Genomic DNA, 21,426 nt, shown 5'->3' with positions numbered 1-21,426 from the left:
GGCAGGAGAATTGCTTGAACCCAGAAAGTGGAGGTTGTGGTGAGCCGAGATTGCGCCATTGCACTCCAGCCTGGGCAACAAGAGCAAAACTCCGTCTCAGAAAAAAAAAAAAAAAAAAAAAAAAAAAAAAAAAAAAAACCAGAAAATGTAAGGCTTAAAAGCATTGGTTTTACAATTTTAAAATTAATTCAGTATTGTATTTTGGCTCTGAATCATTTAGCATTCTTTATCCTCAGCAATCTCATCTGAAAAACTGGTATAATTTTAGCACTTACTCATCAGAATATTTCTGAGAATTAAGCAATACATATAAAGGCTTTGACACATATATACTCTAACTATAAAAGTAATTACAAATATTAGAATTGTTATTAAGTGGAGCAAATGGAACTAGAATTGGTGCCAATATGACTCAGGTTTCTAATAATTCTGGAAGATGACATGAAAAGTAGAAAATACGTCAGAGAAGAGCTCTGACATAAAGCAATTGTAGAGATTTATCTCATAAAAATTCTTAAGAGAAGCAAACATTCCTATCAGGAGTTCACTTTGAAATTGATAGCAAGAAAATGACCCCAGGTAACAAGCCTAGGAAAATAAGTTTAACATGTTGCTGTCATCTTTCTGTGGTTCATCCTAGTTGAGGTCTGGAAGTCCAGACCTGGGTTAGAAATTGACTAAAGAATACGAAGCCATGAGGTTGGTCACCAAGGAGCTTTGGGAGAAAGATAAACTGTGGCTGCCAAAACCCGACAAATATGCCACATTTCCAAAGCAAGCATCCAAGTTTGGACATCACGTGAATTTTTAATTTAAAAGAATCTTGTCAGCTCTGCAGAGCTAAAGACCATGTTCATATACATGCTTCTAGGGTTACTTCTAACTCTGAGTCTCTGATTCTATAATTCTACTTTGGTAACTGACTTATTACTAACCATAAATCACATGAATGCTCGGCATGGGATATGGCACATTATCCATGTTTAGCTAAGTGAGGCAGCCACAACTTTATGGTTAAACGTTCAGACCATAGGGCAAGACTGCCTGAGTTTGAATTAACGGCTTTTCTACTCACAAGCCACATGGCCTGGAGTTCTGTCACTTTCCTTCATGTACCTTACTTGTAAAATGGGAATAACATAAATACTTTCCTTTTAGGCTTTTTGGTGCTATGGTGAGGCTGAAATGAGTTGGTATTTGTAAAACATTTTTCAGAAGTTATTTCACTAAACCAGCAATTCTCACATTGTAGCTGCATCAGAATCATATGGAAGGCTTGTTAACACATGGACTCCTAAGCCTCCTTCGTACAGTTTCTGAATCAGTGGGTCTGGGATGGATCCCGCAAATTTTTGATCTTAACGAAGTCCAAAGTAATGCTGATGCTGGACCCGTGACCCTATCTTGAGATCCACTGCCCTAAAACATTCATTGCAAATTGTCATCAAAAGCTTAAGTGCTATGTAACTACGTGGAAGGAAACAAGGTCATTTTAGTTATGTTAACTCAGTGTTTATGAGTATTGGGAGCCCCACCAAGAATTGCAGGAGATATTACATGTGGGCAAGTTGGTAGAGGTGATTCTGGAGGCATCTCTGCCTCCAGATGGTAGGGTTGGAGATGAGAAAGGAGAATGTAATCCAAGCAGAAATAGTAGTATTTAAATCCGGTTCTGTGATAATGATTTAAAAGAATTCCTCTGAGACATCTATATACGATGTAATATTGTTTGGCAGTTAAAAAACAAAAGGGAAATATTGCCATTTGTCACACATGGATGAACCTGGAGGACATTATGCCAAGTGAAATAAGCCAGAAACCAAAAGAAAAATAGTGTATGATCTCACTTATATATGTGAAATCTTTTTCTAAAAGGTCGATTATACAGAGATAGAGAATTAAATAGTGGTTATAGGGGTTGGAGAAAGGAAATGGAAAAATGTAGATCAGAGAATACACAGTAGCATACATTTATATAGATCTAATGTGCAAGAGGACTATAGTTAATAAAATTGTATGGTATTTGGGATTCTTGCTAAAAGAGTAGATTTTAGCTGCTCGTGTCACAAAAACAAAAATGGGGTAACTATGTGAGATGATGGATATGTTGTTTCACTATAGTAACCATTTTACTATCTGTATATAGCCCATAACATGTTGTATACCTTAAATATACGCAATATAATTTACTTATTTTTAAAAGAGGGGTTTAAATAAAACATTGACACTGCAGGTATCACAGGTCATTAACGCTAACTTAGCCTTCAAATAGAACTTTGGGAGCCACAGGACCAAGGACAGCCTGCGGCGATTTACGTAAACCCTTAAACCAAAAGGCCCACCTGTCAACAGGTGGAAGAGGTCAAGGAGGAAATGAACGGGCGGCCACTGAAACTGCTCTGCCACCCAGCCAGGACCTGCCAACTTGCTAGGAGAAAGCCCTGGGAATTTAAAGAGTGAAGCCACGGCGAATTAGCTTCCCACACGCTCGTAAACATAAAGAGGGGCCCGGTGGTCGTTTCTCATCCTTGTGCTGCTGAGCCCCGGCCGCGTCCCCAGACACAGAAGTCGGGCTCATCCCCCGCCCTCGCTCCGCCTTCCTTCCTTCCCTCCCAGAGCTCCGGACCAGCTCCGCACGACCCCAGCAGCTGAGCCCGGGACCGAGCCCGGGACCTAGCCCGGGCAGCTCGAGCCCATTGGTCACCAGGGCAAACAGGTGAGCGCCTCGGCCAATCCTTCCCCGGAAAGGGCTGGAACCCCACGCCGGCTGGGGCTTGGCGTGGGAATGGAGCGAGTACCGTGGCTGCAGAAGCGGGCGCTGGGGCGGGGAGGGCTGAGGGTGGGGGAGGGAAGACGCACCCGGAGAAGGTGGGGGCATGAAAGCACACGACAATTCTTCGGTGACTGGTGCCAGGCAAAAAAAAAAAACACACACTGAGGAAAGACAATCAATAGATGGAGACATCTGTGACAGATTTGTCCAAAAAAGACAATTTGAGGAGAAGCTCTTGGGACTTTGGAGCAAAATGGAGTGATTAGTAGTAGTTAATATTCAAGTGATAACTTTAAGGAGTATTAAGTACACTACTGAGGGAGGAGAAAGGAAATTTAAAAACCTCCACTTAGCCTTTTGTTTCTGCAACAGCAAGCATCATAATAAAAGAACGCTTCTGGGTTAATGTGGTTATGAGTTATAGAACTTTGAAGCTGTGGAAGCGGCTCCAGGTCTCCCTGAAGAGCATTACTCCTGGCTGTAAGCCAAAAAGAATAAGGCTTTTTGCTCACTTTGGAGCAGAGAACTTTTCCTCCCTCAGGTTTGGACACAATTTTCCATTTCCTGGGAAGATTTTCTGTCTCTGCCTATGTCACAAGAGGACTCAGGACCTGAAAGAAGAGCTCAGGTATTGCCAATTCCTATTTCATTATGTACATTTTCAGCCTTACGTTTGTGAGAATCCCTTATTCATGTGTTGTCTTATGCTATTGATCCTCTTTTAAATAATTTGAACGTGGGCATACCCAGAACTTTTATTTAAGCTGAACGAGAGAATTACCTTCATCCTGCTGTTCCTTCCTTTGTTTATCTAATGATAAGGTGGAAATGCTGTCTCCAATCATACAAAGCTTATTTAAAATTATTGTAACCAGGTGGTTACGATGGCAAAAGTGGTCATATGATTAATCCTATCTTAAATTTTAATTTGGACTAAATTATAATAATACATCCATCATCTTTTTATCTGTATGAAAATCCAAGCAGTTCAGCCCCAGTGTTATTTCTCAGTGTAGTTTGTAGCTAAAGGGTGGTTGCTGGTGGAATCCAACATCATGCTGTTCCACAGAACGGTGGGATTTATTACAAATTATGAAGGTCATTTTGCTTGGAAAAGCACAATAAAGAGTTTATTTCAATCCTGCATTTCAGGAGAGAATTAGGTTTGAATTCCTGGGCTTGCCCCACATATGGGTAACAGATACCATTTTTTTTTTTCTGACAAGCTGAGCATATTTCTTCCCTGGTTATGCTCCCCACCTCCTGTGGCAGCCATGAGCTGGAGGAGGGACCAAGGAAAAAGGCAGAGAGATGTCCGAAGCTGAGCAAAAGCAGACAGCATCATGCCTGCACAGGGTCAGCATGGCTCAAGCCCTCTCAGCTGGTCAGTCGCTGTTGCTTATGGTCATTACTTGGCAGTGAAGTGTTCAATGTGTCTTTTTTTTTGGCAGGGACTTGAAAACCGGTTAGAAAGAGATTTATTCTCCCTTCCAGTGGATTATTACAACCTTTAAAAAATGTTTCTGAAGAAGGTTTAATAAAATGAAAAAACATTATATATGAAATGATAAAATGTGTTACAAAATTGAGTTTGATCACATGTACACATATACACGTAAATGTATGTACACCTATACATATACACACAATAGATGAAAAAGGCTGGAAAGGAATACAACAACATGTTTAAGGATTATATAAGTGGTGAGATTGAGTAATTTTTTTCCTTTTTACTGCTTAATTACAGTTTCCAAATGTTTTATTATGCACAGATATTACTGTTATAATCAGTTTCTTGAAAGTTACTCTAAAAGAATTAATGTATATAAAGGAAACTAAATTCTATATATTTTAGTTGTCACAATCTTTCTTATGGTTTCCAGTTTCCCTTTTAATGAATGCCTGAGTAATAGGGATTGCTGGTTTTCATAAAGAAGTGAGAAGCTGTGAAGAAATTTTCACAACAGTAAATATCCCACTTGATCATAAAGCGCAGTGTGAGGCCAGCAGCACACACTATAGTTTTGTAAAGAGTGCATATGACCACAAAGGGTAGGAATGGAATTGACCACTTACGACCCTTAAAGAAGGTCTCCCAGATTCCCAGAGTGAGTGTGTGGTGGTCCTGGGACTTTGCTCCACCACTCTTTATAACTCTGAGGTATGATGTTTTTTCAGGATGAAGGTAAAAGGCAGAGGAATCACCTGCTTGCTGGTCTCCTTTGCTGTGATCTGCCTGGTCGCCACCCCTGGGGGCAAGGCCTGTCCTCGCCGCTGTGCCTGTTATATGCCTACGGAGGTACACTGCACATTTCGGTACCTGACTTCCATCCCAGACAGCATCCCGCCCAATGTGGAACGCATCAATTTAGGGTGTGTGAGACCTCATGTTTCCTCTTCTCAAAGAGGGATCAGTCGCAGCAGTGACTTGTCCCTCAAACATCTATGACTTTGGGAGATGAATCTCAATTGTTTTAACAATATTTCTTTTCTGAAATGAGCTCATGAGAATTTTGTTTGTTGGGGGCAATAAGAAAACTTTTCCTGGTAAACTTTTATTAGGAGAAAGTTCTTCTAGAATTTGAAGTCCCTCTTGGTAGGTTGGGAGACTCATGACGGTAAAAAGCTTCTTTCTGGCTACATTTTTGCTGGAAAATGATATAGTTTCTGTTAACTATTGGGGTTATGATCATTCATCATAAGAGATGACAGGGTAACTGGAAGTGTCTGCCTATATAATACACACACACACACACATACATACATATATATATATATGTATCCTTTTTATAGGCCCTTTGGTTTCTTTCCATACAAACTTATTTAAAATGGATGCCTAATTAAATTTTTAAAAATATGACTGTATTTTAAACGTTCATGAAAAAAAAGTCTGTGTGTGTCTGAATACACATGTTGGACTTAGCATCGTTTATTTGACATTAGTGAGCATGTACTATGCACTGGGGATACAATGGTAAGATATACTATTCACTTCTAGGATGTGTATTGATCGTTAAAAAGACCAGACAAATGTACGGTCAGTACAATTAATAAAAACTAATAGAGCATACAAAGTGTTTTAGAGACAGTCACTAATATTAAGAGCTAACATTAAGGTTGTGCTCAGTAGGTGCTGGCATTGGGTTAAGCACTGCATCCATTTAATCCTCATAACCCCTTTGGAGTGAGTTCTATTATTTACATTTTATAGATGAGGAAACTGAGGCACAGAAAGCCTGCTGATTTTACCCAGGGTTGTACCACTACTCTGTTGAGCCTGAGCTCGTAATCATACCCAAACGAGACGCCCAAGCCTGGCCTCCAGAGCCCAGGCTTCTTAACCACTGCTGACGAATTCCACCTGGGGGAGTGGTGAGGAGATAGTGTCATGAAAGAATGGGCTAGATATTAAGTGTTCACAAATAGAAAAAGGTGAGGTCAAGGGCATTCCAACCTGAGGGAACAGCATATATATAAAAGTTTGAAAATGATAAGAAATGTGACAAGTTCCCAGAATATGAGGGGGGTGATTGTAACTGAAATGGCAAGAACTGGGTAGAGAGCCGACCTTCTGTGGCATCTGGTGAATTTCAGTTTTTGAAGCATTTGATTGTCTCAATAGAGTACAGTTATAAAGAGAGGTATTGAGTTTTCTTGTGTTTATTTTGGTTATGACATTTGAACTTTAGTTGACAGACTTAGCTTATGCCTAGAATGTCATTTTTTATTTCAGATACAACAGCTTGGTTAGATTGATGGAAACAGATTTTTCTGGCCTGACCAAACTGGAGTTACTCATGCTTCACAGCAATGGCATTCACACAATCCCTGACAAGACCTTCTCAGATTTGCAGGCCTTGCAGGTGAGACTGATGGAGAGAGGGGGCAGGTTAAAGAGGTAAGGTGGGACCTGTGAGATAGACCTTCAAAGGCTGCCTATCTCTACACAATACGAAAATCAACATTCTGTAAATTAGAAGCAGACGTCAATGGAGAATGTTAACTGATTTTTAACTGTGGAACTGTGTGTATAAATTAGAATAATAAGAACTCTGAGGCAAGTTTTCTACTACCTCAAGCTAATAGAAAAAAAATCAATACCCAGAGACGATAAACCTTCAAAATTTAATCCTAAAAGGACACTTCTAGTCATGTTTATCTGGGAATTGAATGTGGTTCCTAAAAGTAATGACTATCTTAGACAGATAATAGTTTTATATAAATCAATGTACTATTTTCAGTTTCATTTTATTTACTTATTCATGTTCTACATTGTTCAATTTTTTAAAGTTAAGAGGACTCCCAAGAATGCATAAAATCATGCAAGAATGATCACAAAAGTAAGTGAGAAAGTAAAAGGTAAAATAAGCCTAGAGAAAAGAATAAAGGGAACATGAGGAAATGCATACATAGAGACCTTTAAGTCTGCTATAAGTAGGACTTGAAGCTTTCAAGACGCTAACAATACATGACATCTATTAAAACTTAAACTGTTCAGGAAAAGCACAGCCATGTATGATTTTTAAATCAGAAAGAAATGTCTTACAAAGCTCCTCATAAAATACAGTGCCATAAAATAAAGTCAATAATATCCTTGTAAAAGATGAAGTACCTGTGTTCATAGAGCCTTCTAACATATACCAGAGCTATGTAAGGGAGGTTATAACCATGGTGAGAGCAATAGAGTATAATGTAGCTATGTGATTCTGTTGATTTGGTTAATCAGGCTCTATTTGGAATGTATGTCTTCGGAGGAATAGATGGATTGCATGTCCTTTATAGAATTCTCTACATATATTTATTCTCTCGACCAAATTTTCAATGGCTGTTGAGGAACATTGAGTTGGAGATTGAACTCCCAGGTTACATTTGGGGCAAAGCTCTTCTATGTTGCCAACTTATATTTTCTTTTCTTATTAGGGGTCTTGGCATTCTAGAGAAGCATTCTCGACAGAGATGATAGTTCAGGCCAAGTCAGGAAAATATGATGAGAAATGGTGTTTACTAGCATTTCTTTTTTCTTTATGGGAGAGAGTATGTTCAACTGGTAATTGGAGAGGGAATTGGAGAATACCTGAGCACTATTGAAATATTCAAAATTATTTTAATTGCAACTCAAAATTAGTCATATTACTCATAACCAAAAAGTATAAGACACCTCTTAATGTCCATCAACCAATGATAGATAAAGCGTTGTGCATGTATACAGTAGAATACTATTCAGCAAAGAAAGGAATGAAGGGCTGATACATGCTATGAGAGGGACAGGTCTTGAAAACATTTTGCTAAGTGAAAGAAGCCAGACACAATGCCATAAAGTGTATGATTCCATTTATATAAAATGTTTAGAATAGGCAAATCCATGGAAACAAAGTAAATTAGTGGTTGTGAAGGGCTAAGAGGATAGGAAAAAATGACTGCTAATGGGTATTAGTTTTTATTTTAAGGTGCAAAATAAAGTTTATTAGAAACTTTAGGCCGGGCGCAGTGGCTCACACCTGTAACCCCAGAACTTTGGGAGGCCAAGGGGGGGCAGATCACCTGAGGTTGGGAGTTCAAGACCAGCCTGACCAACATGGAGAAACCCCATCTCTACTAAATAATACAAAAAATTAGCCAGGCGTGGTGGCACATGCCTGTAATCCCAGTTACTCAGGAGGCTGAGGCAGGATAATCACTTGACCCAGGAGATGGAGGTTGTAGTGAGCCGAGATCACTCCATTGCACTCCAGCCTGGGCAACAAGAGTGAAACTCCATCTCAAAAAAAAAAACAAAACGCAAAAAAGAAACTTTATTTAGAAGTTTCTAACAGTGGATATGGTTGCACAACTCTATGAATATACTAAAAACCAATAAATTGTACACTTTTAAATTATTTTTTTGAGACAGAATCTTGCTCTGTCACCCAGGCTGGAGTGCGGTGGTGCAATCTCAGCTCACTACAACCTCCACCTTCCAAGTTCAAATGATTCTCATGCCTCAGCCTCCTGAGTAGCTAGGGAGTATGTGTGTGTGCCACCATGCCCGGCTAATTTTGTGTGTGTATATGTATTTTTAGTAGAGACAGGATTTCGTCATGTTGGCTAGGCTGGTCTCAAACTCCTGGCCTCAAGTGATCTGCCCGCCTCAGCCTCCCAAAGTGCTGGGAGCCACCATGCCCAGCCAGTTGTACACTTTAAAAGGTGGATTTTATGGCATGTGAACTATAACTCAATAAATTAAAATCAATAGTCTCTCTTATGAAAAATTTATGTTTAAGAAATCTTAAATTTACTTGAAATACTAAGACTTAAAAAAAAAACCTTATAAAAATTTTCAACCATGGACAAAAGTAGAAAGAATATAATGAACTGTAATGGACCATTACCCAGCTGCAATAGTTATGGACTCATAGCAGATGTCTCACCTGCACCTCTACCCACTATTCTCCGCTCCATTCAACTATTTTGAAACAAATCCAAATTTTCATAATATTCATCTGTAAGTACTTCTATATATCTCAAAATTAAGAAATCTTTTTAAAATAACCACAATATCATTCATATATCTTAAATTTTAACAGTCATTCCTGGCTGGGCATGATGGCTCGTGCCTGTAATCCCAGCACTTTGGGAGGCTGAGGTGGGCGGATCACCTGAGGTCAGGAGTTTGAGACCAACCTTGCCAACATGGTGAAACCCCATCTCTACTAAAACTACAAAAATTAGCTGGGCATGGTGGTGGGCACCTGTAATCCCAGCTACTCAGGAGGCTGAGGCAGGAGAATCGCTTCAAACCAGGAGGCGGAGGTTGCAGTAAGCAGAGATCACAACACTGCACTCCAGCCTGGGCGACAGAGCAAGACGCTGTCTCAAAAAAAAAAAAAAAAGAAAAAGAAAAAAAGAAATATATATATCTCATTCCTTAATATAAATAGGCAAATGTTCATGAGTGTTCTAATTTTTCTGATATTGTCATATTTAATTTGCAATGAATTTGATTGAATTGGGATCCTAAGAAGGTATATAAATTGCACTGAATTAATTTCAACATAAGTTTTGTTATTGATAGGACTTTTCCCTCTTGTGAAAATTCCTTTGACAACATAAATATGTTCTTTTTTTTAATTCATAGGTCTTAAAAATGAGCTATAATAAAGTCCGAAAACTTCAGAAAGATACTTTTTATGGCCTCAGGAGCTTGACACGATTGCACATGGACCACAACAATATTGAGTTTATAAACCCAGAGGTTTTTTATGGGCTCAACTTTCTCCGCCTGGTGCACTTGGAAGGAAATCAGCTCACTAAGCTCCACCCAGATACATTTGTCTCTTTGAGCTACCTCCAGATATTTAAAATCTCTTTCATTAAGTTCCTATACTTGTCTGATAACTTCCTGACCTCCCTCCCTCAAGAGATGGTCTCCTATATGCCTGACCTAGACAGCCTTTACCTGCATGGAAACCCATGGACCTGTGATTGCCATTTAAAGTGGTTGTCTGACTGGATACAGGAGAAGCCAGGTATCTATATTGTTTATTTTTTTGTCCCAATTAAGTGGAGGAAATCTGCTTGGAGGTATTATATTAGGAAGTGGAGAGCCCAGGGTAATTTAGGAGAGAAAATAACATCTCAGAAATAATTCAAGAATAATGAATTATTTACACATCATCTATGGCTGTGTTTTGGCAACTGTGGCAGTCAAGTAGTGTCACAGAACTGTTTCACAAAGCCTAAAAATCCTTACTATCTGGCTCTTTATAAAAATGTTGCTGATCTCTGGCTTAGAGAATAAATCTCATGCTCCTTAGGCTACAAGCCAGGTCCTCATAGTGTGGTGCTGGCCTATCCTCAGCCTCCTTTCCCTCCTCTCCAACCCTCAGCCCTGCCCATCCCAGGCACACAGGCAGTTTTTGCTCTTAACAACTCTGGACAACTTCCTGCCACACCACAAGCTGTTTTACCTCCTCGTACCTGCTGCTGCCCCTGCCTGGAGCCCTTCCTTTCCTTTTCTGCTTGATGGTTCTCAGCCAGCCAGCAAACTGCTCAGCCGTTCTGAGAAGTCTGGCTGCTTCTCCACCCACCCCATCTCCATCAGAATAACCATTTCACCACTTGGGTTGTTTGCCTATACTTCCATTCTTGAATGGATAACATTTGGTTATATCTACTCCTATTAGAAGTCTTTTGCCTTTCCTGCATCTAGTTTATCTTTAACTGTGGTTTCAATATGTCCCAAACTTACATATATGTATAAAAACACATCATATATGCATTTATACATCTGTCATATGTACATATACATATGCGCACACACATAATCACACACTGCATACTGACATCTCAGTCAACAACAGATGGCATATATAATGATCCTCCCATAAGATTTACAATGGAGGTGAAATAAAACTATTGCCTAGTGACATTGTAGCCATCATAAAGTGGTAGTGCAATATGTTACCTTTTCTAAGTTTAGATACATAAATAATTACAATTGTATTACAATTGCTTACAGTATTCAGTAGAGTAATACACTGTATGGGTCTGTAGCCTAGGAGCAGTAGGCTTTACCATATAGCCTAGGTGTGTAGTAGGCTATACTATCTAGGTTTGTGTAAGTACACTGCATAATGTTTGCACAACAAAATTGCCTAATGATGCATTTTTCAGAATGTGTCCCTGTTGTTAATTCATAACTCTATATGTGTAAAATAATTAAACCCATAGGGGCTCACATCTTTCAGTCTTAATAATCAAGTGTTATCCTTTTGACTGAGATGACTTAATAATTTTTACGAGACCCATGGGTCAGTCACATCAACCTCTTCTGCTTTGAAAAATTTTCATGATTTCAAGAGATTCGACAGTTGTTCATGGCTTCAGGTGCCTCACTTGGCATGTGGTAGGCAATCCTTTTGCACTGATCTCAGTAGTTAAATGTAACACTCCTTTATCTACTTGTGGGTATCTTCTATTCTTTGATTCTGCAAAGATGTTGATGCAGCATTTCTATAAAATGAATTTGTGGCTGTTTCTCTAATGAGCATTCATTTCATGAATATGAAATTTATGTTCTGCTGCTCTGTTTCCATTCTTTTTTACATACTTGACAACCTGTTTTTATGCTAAATCATAGTGTAATCTTAATTGAAACATTTTAAAGGCAAATTTAATATATGTCATAGCACCAATACATGTGATACAATGGAAAGCAATGACAATAGCTATGACAGTCTTTATAGGTATACAAGCTGTGATAGCTATATTGATTGCCAATTTGTCAGTTGTTACTGTAAAACATCCTCAATTGTAAGGCACATCTTAATTTATAAGTTGAAATGTGAAAAAACAAACAAAAAAACATGGTCACAGAATTAGGCACTTTTTCTTGCCTGCCTGTCTGCCTTTCTTCCTTCTGCTGATCTTTCCTGAGCATCCATTGGCCAGGGCTGGGGACATACAGATGAACAAGAATGAAGTTTATAGTTTCATGGGAAGACAGATAAGTAAACAAGTCATTCTAATAGTGAATAATGAAAAAGTAGGATATAAGAAGTGAAGGGTACCCAGAGACTATAAAACAGGGAGCCCACCCAGAAGAAGTGCTGTTCAGACTGGGTTCTGAAGGATGATTGGTAAGTACTTGGGTCATGATGAAAGACACCAAGTGTGCGGGACATAGAAGGAACAGCGTATGCCAGAGCCAATGGGGCATGGCAGGGTTGAGGAATGGAAAGGATTTCCATGGGGCTGGAACCGAGGGAATGGGGGTGATATGGTCAGGTTTGCATTTGAGGCAAAATACCTGATGTCCAAGGCCTGCTAACTCTGGCTCAGTGCAAGCAATAATAAGCATGCCACAGTGTGAGCATAGTCTATGATGAGGTTTCATTAAGCCAGAAGTCTGCCATGTTGTCTTAGCCCAGGGTACTGATAAGTAGGTAAAGGAATACAGCTTGTTGGCAAGTGGGTGATGGGGAGGCAACTCTTTTTTTTTTTTTTTTTTTTTTTGAGACAGAGTTTTGCTCTTGTTGCCCAGGCTGGAGTGCAATGGTGTGATCTTGGCTCACTGCAACCTCTGCCTCCCGGGTTAAGTGATTCTCCTACCTCAGCCTCCCGAGCAGCTGGGATTATAGACATGTGCCACCATGCCTGGCTAATTTTGTATTTTTAGTAGAGACGGGGTTTTTCCATGTTGGTCAGACTGGTCTCAAACTTCCAACCTCAGGTGATCCGCCCACCTCGGCCTCCCAAAGTGCTGAGGTTACAGGCGTGAGCGATTGCGGCCAGCCAGGAGGCAACTCTTATGATTGTTCAAAGGTTTCCCAACTTGCCAGCCACCTCCTCTGCATAGGTTTAGACTATAAAATTTGCTGAAGAATGCCCACTGGTCAGGCATCTGTGACATTACCTGTCACACTGTAGTACACGCAGAAGAGTTTGGTGTCCTTGGTCAGAGTGAGTTTCTTAAGCCTTTGAGAGGACATGTGCACACATGGGAAGGAGATTTGACCCTATCTAGCCACTCTGACAAATTAGATCTTCTAAGAAGTACAATGCTTTTGTTAAGTGCCATGTCCAGTGCATCATATAAGAGCTACTATATGGAACAGCATGGATGTCTCAGGCTGTATTTTGTGTAAGGGAAAAGTCTATACCTCTTACCAAGTATTCCAGTGACCAGCCATTTTAAATAGGCTCACCAGAGCAGAGCTTTTAAATGGTATGTGATATCCAAATATTTGAAAGACAAGGCACCTATGACTTAGAAATGCTGGTCCTTATAATGCTGGTCCTAGTGCTGTAAGACTTGCAACCTCTGACTTCGCCAGAATGTCAGACCTTTAATGAGCCTCCCCACTGCCTTGGCAAAATGTTCTTCCCTCCCCCTTAAACCTGAACCTGCTCTAGTGCATCTACCTCATCCAAGGGAACCATCAACCATCCAGTTTCCAAAGTCATAAAACGGAGTCTTCCTTGACCCTTCCTTTTAGTCACTGTCCATATTCAGTCAATCCTCACCTCCTATTGATTGGTTCTACCTTCTTCATTGTCTCCTGCATCCATCTGCTTCTCTTAATTCCTGTTGCTACTAAGCTAGACCAGGTCAAGGTACCCTGTAATTCAGTCAATATTCTTTTGGATAATGGAAATAAACTTGGGTTTTTTAATGATACCCAAGGAATTATAAATAATCCTTTAATAAACAGCTTATCTTTTAAAGAACAGTGAGGTCCTGTGGCCATCTTAAAATGTTAAAATGAAGAAATAGAACTAAACTGTTATTAATAAAAACTGACAAACATGAGCATATCATTTTGTTTCCCTAGATTTAAAAAAATGACTTATTCAACTAATATTTACTGGGTACCAAATATATATCAGGCATTTGCTGAACATGGGAAATACTGCAGTGAATAAGATAGACAAAATCCTATGTCTATGCATATTATGTTGTAGCAGGGTATACAGACATAGCTTTTTAAAAAATCAAATTCAGAAGCAAAAAATCAGAAAACTTTCCATTGAACACTAAAATTTCCAAATTGTTTCAGCTTCTAGCAAAAGCTATTTCTTCAAAATGTTTGTGTCAATTCATAAAGAGGTCACAACTGATAATTCAATTGTGATTTTTTTCCAGATGTAATAAAATGCAAAAAAGATAGAAGTCCCTCTAGTGCTCAGCAGTGTCCACTTTGCATGAACCCTAGGACTTCTAAAGGCAAGCCGTTAGCTATGGTCTCAGCTGCAGCTTTCCAGTGTGCCAAGCCAACCATTGACTCATCCCTGAAATCAAAGAGCCTGACTATTCTGGAAGACAGTAGTTCTGCTTTCATCTCTCCCCAAGGTTTCATGGCACCCTTTGGCTCCCTCACTTTGAATATGACAGATCAGTCTGGAAATGAAGCTAACATGGTCTGCAGTATTCAAAAGCCCTCAAGGACATCACCCATTGCATTCACTGAAGAAAATGACTACATCGTGCTAAATACTTCATTTTCAACATTTTTGGTGTGCAACATAGATTACGGTCACATTCAGCCAGTGTGGCAAATTTTGGCTTTGTACAGTGATTCTCCTCTGATACTAGAAAGGAGCCACTTGCTTAGTGAAACACCGCAGCTCTATTACAAATATAAACAGGTGGCTCCTAAGCCTGAAGACATTTTTACCAACATAGAGGCAGATCTCAGAGCAGATCCCTCTTGGTTAATGCAAGACCAAATTTCCTTGCAGCTGAACAGAACTGCCACCACATTCAGTACATTACAGATCCAGTACTCCAGTGATGCTCAAATCACTTTACCAAGAGCAGAGATGAGGCCAGTGAAACACAAATGGACTATGATTTCAAGGGATAACAATACTAAGCTGGAACATACTGTCTTGGTAGGTGGAACCGTTGGCCTGAACTGCCCAGGCCAAGGAGACCCCACCCCACACGTGGATTGGCTTCTAGCTGATGGAAGTAAAGTGAGAGCCCCTTATGTCAGTGAGGATGGACGGATCCTAATAGACAAAAGTGGAAAATTGGAACTCCAGATGGCTGATAGTTTTGACACAGGCGTATATCACTGTATAAGCAGCAATTATGATGATGCAGATATTCTCACCTATAGGATAACTGTGGTAGAACCTTTGGTCGAAGCCTATCAGGAAAATGGGATTCATCACACAGTTTTCATTGGTGAAACACTTGATCTTCCATGCCATTCTACTGGTATCCCAGATGCCTCTATTAGCTGGGTTATTCCAGGAAACAATGTGCTCTATCAGTCATCAAGAGACAAGAAAGTTCTAAACAATGGCACATTAAGAATATTACAGGTCACCCCGAAAGACCAAGGTTATTATCGCTGTGTGGCAGCCAACCCATCAGGGGTTGATTTTTTGATTTTCCAAGTTTCAGTCAAGATGAAAGGACAAAGGCCCTTGGAGCATGATGGAGAAACAGAGGGATCTGGACTTGATGAGTCCAATCCTATTGCTCATCTTAAGGAGCCACCAGGTGCACAACTCCGTACATCTGCTCTGATGGAGGCTGAGGTTGGAAAACACACCTCAAGCACAAGTAAGAGGCACAACTATCGGGAATTAACACTCCAGCGACGTGGAGATTCAACACATCGACGTTTTAGGGAGAATAGGAGGCATTTCCCTCCCTCTGCTAGGAGAATTGACCCACAACATTGGGCGGCACTGTTGGAGAAAGCTAAAAAGAATGCTATGCCAGACAAGCGAGAAAATACCACAGTGAGCCCACCCCCAGTGGTCACCCAACTCCCAAACATACCTGGTGAAGAAGACGATTCCTCAGGCATGCTCGCTCTACATGAGGAATTTATGGTCCCGGCCACTAAAGCTTTGAACCTTCCAGCAAGGACAGTGACTGCTGACTCCAGAACAATATCTGATAGTCCTATGACAAACATAAATTATGGCACAGAATTCTCTCCTGTTGTGAATTCACAAATACTACCACCTGAAGAACCCACAGATTTCAAACTGTCTACTGCTATTAAAACTACAGCCATGTCAAAGAATATAAACCCAACCATGTCAAGCCAAATACAAGGCACAACCAATCAACATTCATCCACTGTCTTTCCACTGCTACTTGGAGCAACTGAATTTCAGGACTCTGACCAGATGGGAAGAGGAAGAGAGCATTTCCAAAGTAGACCCCCAATAACAGTAAGGACTATGATCAAAGATGTCAATGTCAAAATGCTTAGTAGCACCACCAACAAACTATTATTAGAGTCAGTAAATACCACAAATAGTCATCAGACATCTGTAAGAGAAGTGAGTGAACCCAGGCACAATCACTTCTATTCTCACACTACTCAAATACTTAGCACCTCCACGTTCCCTTCAGATCCACACACAGCTGCTCATTCTCAGTTTCCGATCCCTAGAAATAGTACAGTTAACATCCCGCTGTTCAGACGCTTTGGGAGGCAGAGGAAAATTGGCGGAAGGGGGCGGATTATCAGCCCATATAGAACTCCAGTTCTGCGACGGCATAGATACAGCATTTTCAGGTCAACAACCAGAGGTTCTTCTGAAAAAAGCACTACTGCATTCTCAGCCACAGTGCTCAATGTGACATGTCTGTCCTGTCTTCCCAGGGAGAGGCTCACCACTGCCACAGCAGCATTGTCTTTTCCAAGTGCTGCTCCCATCACCTTCCCCAAAGCTGACATTGCTAGAGTCCCATCAGAAGAGTCTACAACTCTAGTCCAGAATCCACTATTACTACTTGAGAACAAACCCAGTGTAGAGAAAACAACACCCACAATAAAATATTTCAGGACTGAAATTTCCCAAGTGACTCCAACTGGTGCAGTCATGACATATGCTCCAACATCCATACCCATGGAAAAAACTCACAAAGTAAACGCCAGTTACCCACGTGTGTCTAGCACCAATGAAGCTAAAAGAGATTCAGTGATTACATCGTCACTTTCAGGTGCTATCACCAAGCCACCAATGACTATTATAGCCATTACAAGGTTTTCAAGAAGGAAAATTCCCTGGCAACAGAACTTTGTAAATAACCATAACCCAAAAGGCAGATTAAGGAATCAACATAAAGTTAGTTTACAAAAAAGCACAGCTGTGATGCTTCCTAAAACATCTCCTGCTTTACCCAGAGACAAAGTCTCCCCTTTCCATTTCACCACACTTTCAACAAGTGTGATGCAAATTCCATCTAATACCTTGACTACCGCTCACCACACTACGACCAAAACACACAATCCTGGAAGTCTTCCAACAAAGAAGGAGCTTCCCTTCCCACCCCTTAACCCTATGCTTCCTAGTATTATAAGCAAAGACTCAAGTACAAAAAGCATCATATCAACGCAAACAGCAATACCAGCAACAACTCCTACCTTCCCTGCATCTGTCATCACTTATGAAACCCAAACAGAGAGATCTAGAGCACAAACAATACAAAGAGAACAGGAGCCTCAAAAGAAGAACAGGACTGACCCAAACATCTCTCCAGACCAGAGTTCTGGCTTCACTACACCCACTGCTATGACACCTCCTGTTCTAACCACAGCCGAAACTTCAGTCAAGCCCAGTGTCTCTGCATTCACTCATTCCCCACCAGAAAACACAACTGGGATTTCAAGCACAATCAGTTTTCATTCAAGAACTCTTAATCTGACAGATGTGATTGAAGAACTAGCCCAAGCAAGTACTCAGACTTTGAAGAGCACAATTGCTTCTGAAACAACTTTGTCCAGCAAATCACACCAGAGTACCACAACTAGGAAAGCAATCATTAGACACTCAACCATACCACCATTCTTGAGCAGCAGTGCTACTCTAATGCCAGTTCCCATCTCCCCTCCCTTTACTCAGAGAGCAGTTACTGACAACGTGGCGACTCCCATTTCCGGGCTTATGACAAATACAGTGGTCAAGCTGCACGAATCCTCAAGGCACAATGCTAAACCACAGCAATTAGTAGCAGAGGTTGCAACATCCCCCAAGGTTCACCCAAATGCCAAGTTCACAATTGGAACCACTCACTTCATCTACTCTAATCTGTTACATTCTACTCCCATGCCAGCACTAACAACAGTTAAATCACAGAATTCTAAATTAACTCCATCTCCCTGGGCAGAAAACCAATTTTGGCACAAACCATACTCAGAAATTGCTGAAAAAGGCAAAAAGCCAGAAGTAAGCATGTTGGCTACTACAGGCCTGTCCGAGGCCACCACTCTTGTTTCAGATTGGGATGGACAGAAGAACACAAAGAAGAGTGACTTTGATAAGAAACCAGTTCAAGAAGCAACAACTTCCAAACTCCTTCCCTTTGACTCTTTGTCTAGGTATATATTTGAAAAGCCCAGGATAGTTGGAGGAAAAGCTGCAAGTTTTACTATTCCAGCTAACTCAGATGCCTTTCTTCCCTGTGAAGCTGTTGGAAATCCCCTGCCCACCATTCATTGGACCAGAGTCCCATCAGGTATGTGAAACTTTTTCTTTACACTTAGTTTTTGTTAGAAAACAAGAAGAAGATTGTTATGTTTTGGGATTAAACATCCAAAGAATCAGTATCAGTTTCAAATTTTTCTAAGACAAAGAAACTATTAATATCCTCATTTGACACTGGCATATTTTCACTCATCAGAAGGGATTAAATATGTTAACTAAGAACATTTTTTGGAATGCCTCAAAAGCTGATTCAAAGTAATATGATTTGAAAAAGAGAGAATGGTTATTGTGTTGAACCATCTGGCTTTTAAAGTAAAATTATGTGAATAAAAAAATCCAGGCTGAGCACAGTGGCTCACGTCTGTAATCCCAGCACTTTGGGGAGGCCAAGGTGGGTGGATTACCTGAGGTCAGGAGTTCAGGATCAGCCTGGCCAACATGGTGAAACCCCTACTCTACTAAAAAAATACATAAATTAGCCGGGTGTGGTGGTGGGCACCTGTAGTCCCAGCTACTCGGGAGGCTGAGACAGAAGAATTGCTCGAACCTGGGAGGCGGAGGTTGCAGTGAGCCAAGATTGTGCCATTGCACTCCAGCCTGGGCAACAAGAGTGAAACTCTCTCAATAAAAATAAAATTAAATAAAATAATCCAGGAATAATTTTAGCAATCTGAAGACTAGATGTCCTAATTTTTTTTTTTTGGTCTGTCACCTAGGGTGGAGTGCAGTGGTACAATCATGTCTCCAGGGGCTCAAGCAATCCTCCTATCTGAACCACCTGAGTAGCTGGGACTACAAGTGCACACCACCATACCTAGCTAATATTTTATTTTTTGTTTGTAGAGACAGGGTCTCACTATGTTTCCAGGGCTGGTCTTGAACTCCTGGGCTTAAGTGATTCTCCCACCTCAGCCTCCCAAAGTGTTGGGATTATACAAGTGAGCCATAGGGCTGGGCTTTCATTTTAATTTAAATGTATTCTTAGTAGCCCAAAAAACGATAGCTTTATGTTTTCTAAATAAACTTTGATGACCCGTAGCAATAATTTTCTTTTTTTCTTCTCAGGACTTGATTTATCTAAGAGGAAACAGAATAGCAGGGTCCAGGTTCTCCCCAATGGTACCCTGTCCATCCAGAGGGTGGAAATTCAGGACCGCGGACAGTACTTGTGTTCCGCATCCAATCTGTTTGGCACAGACCACCTTCATGTCACCTTGTCTGTGGTTTCCTATCCTCCCAGGATCCTGGAGAGACGTACCAAAGAGATCACAGTTCATTCCGGAAGCACTGTGGAACTGAAGTGCAGAGCAGAAGGTAGGCCAAGCCCTACAGTTACCTGGATTCTTGCAAACCAAACAGTTGTCTCAGAATCATCCCAGGGAAGTAGGCAGGCTGTGGTGACGGTTGACGGAACATTGGTCCTCCACAATCTCAGTATTTATGACCGTGGCTTTTACAAATGTGTGGCCAGCAACCCAGGTGGCCAGGATTCACTGCTGGTTAAAATACAAGTCATTGCAGCACCACCTGTTATTCTAGAGCAAAGGAGGCAAGTCATTGTAGGCACTTGGGGTGAAAGTTTAAAACTGCCCTGTACTGCAAAAGGAACTCCTCAGCCCAGCGTTTACTGGGTCCTCTCTGATGGCACTGAAGTGAAACCATTACAGTTTACCAATTCCAAGTTGTTCTTATTTTCAAATGGGACTTTGTATATAAGAAACCTAGCCTCTTCAGACAGGGGCACTTATGAATGCATTGCTACCAGTTCCACTGGTTCGGAGCGAAGAGTAGTAATGCTTACAATGGAAGAGCGAGTGACCAGCCCCAGGATAGAAGCTGCATCCCAGAAAAGGACTGAAGTGAATTTTGGGGACAAATTACTACTGAACTGCTCAGCCACTGGGGAGCCCAAACCCCAAATAATGTGGAGGTTACCATCCAAGGCTGTGGTCGACCAGCAGCATAGGTAAGTCTATACCTTTGGGTTGGAATTATCTGCTTTATGTATTTAGCTGTACAACTTCTGAAATGGAAAAAGTGACACAGTGAGGCTAGCAGCAGTTTTAGAGTACACATAGACTTTGGACATAAAGGAAACTCTCTCAAAAAAAACTAATCTTTTGAGATCATTTGAATACAAAAACCATTCTTTTCACATGCTTAACTCAAAGGGTCAACTTCTTAGGGTTTTTATATTTTAGGCAGAATTAAAAAATCTCATTTATCTCCATACTTGGCACAGTTTTAAAATAGTAACTGTAGGACAGGCACGGTGGCTCACGCCTGTAATCCTAGCACTTTGGGAGGCCGAGACAGATGGATCACCTGAGGTCAGGAGTTCAGGACCAGCTCGGCCAACATGGTGAAACCCTATCTCTACTAAAAGTACAAAAAAAAAAAAATTAGCCGGGCATGGTGGCCGGGCGCCTGTAATCCCAGCTGCTTGGGAGGTTGAGGCAGGAGAATTGCTTGAACCTGGAAGGCAGAGGTTGCAGTGAACCGAGATTGCACCACTGCACTCCAGCCTAGGCAACAGAGTGAGACTTTGTCTCAAAAAAAAAAAAAAAAATAGTAATTGTATAAATATATTCACACTCTCTGTAAACAAAACAGAGAAGGGAATTTTTATGATGCAGTGGAGATTCTAGAGAGAGACACTCCGTTATTTTACTCGTCTGAGTCCCCTATTCGACATTTTAAACTTCATTATAATC

General features: G+C 40.7%; 1 protein-coding gene across 13 annotated transcripts in view; it reads left to right on the top strand.

Annotated features, from left to right (window-relative positions):
- Positions 1-21,426, top strand: part of IGSF10 (immunoglobulin superfamily member 10) — a 187,494-nt gene that overhangs the window by 156,264 nt on the left and 9,804 nt on the right. For 3 of the 13 annotated variants that reach the window (XM_047448015.1, XM_047448013.1, XM_047448014.1), the window contains exons 1-6: positions 2,930-3,401; positions 4,952-5,146; positions 6,507-6,636; positions 9,888-10,278; positions 14,397-18,743; positions 19,778-20,026. In XM_047448015.1, the coding sequence (XP_047303971.1) occupies positions 3,187-3,401; positions 4,952-5,146; positions 6,507-6,636; positions 9,888-10,278; positions 14,397-18,743; positions 19,778-20,026 (5,527 nt within the window). In that variant the 5' untranslated portion in view covers positions 2,930-3,186. Of the gene's footprint in view, positions 1-2,600; positions 2,717-2,929; positions 3,402-4,951; positions 5,147-6,506; positions 6,637-9,887; positions 10,279-14,396; positions 18,744-19,777; positions 20,679-21,426 lie in introns of those variants that run through there. The other 10 variants (XM_011512709.3, NM_001385060.1, XM_047448011.1 and 7 more) reach the window with 8 other exon arrangements.

This window comes from Homo sapiens, chromosome 3 (assembly GCF_000001405.40).
Source record: "Homo sapiens chromosome 3, GRCh38.p14 Primary Assembly".
Classification (NCBI taxonomy): Eukaryota; Metazoa; Chordata; class Mammalia; order Primates; family Hominidae; genus Homo; species Homo sapiens.
The sequence above is the reverse complement of the archived record's forward strand: the minus strand, read 5'-3'. Positions and strand labels throughout refer to the sequence as shown.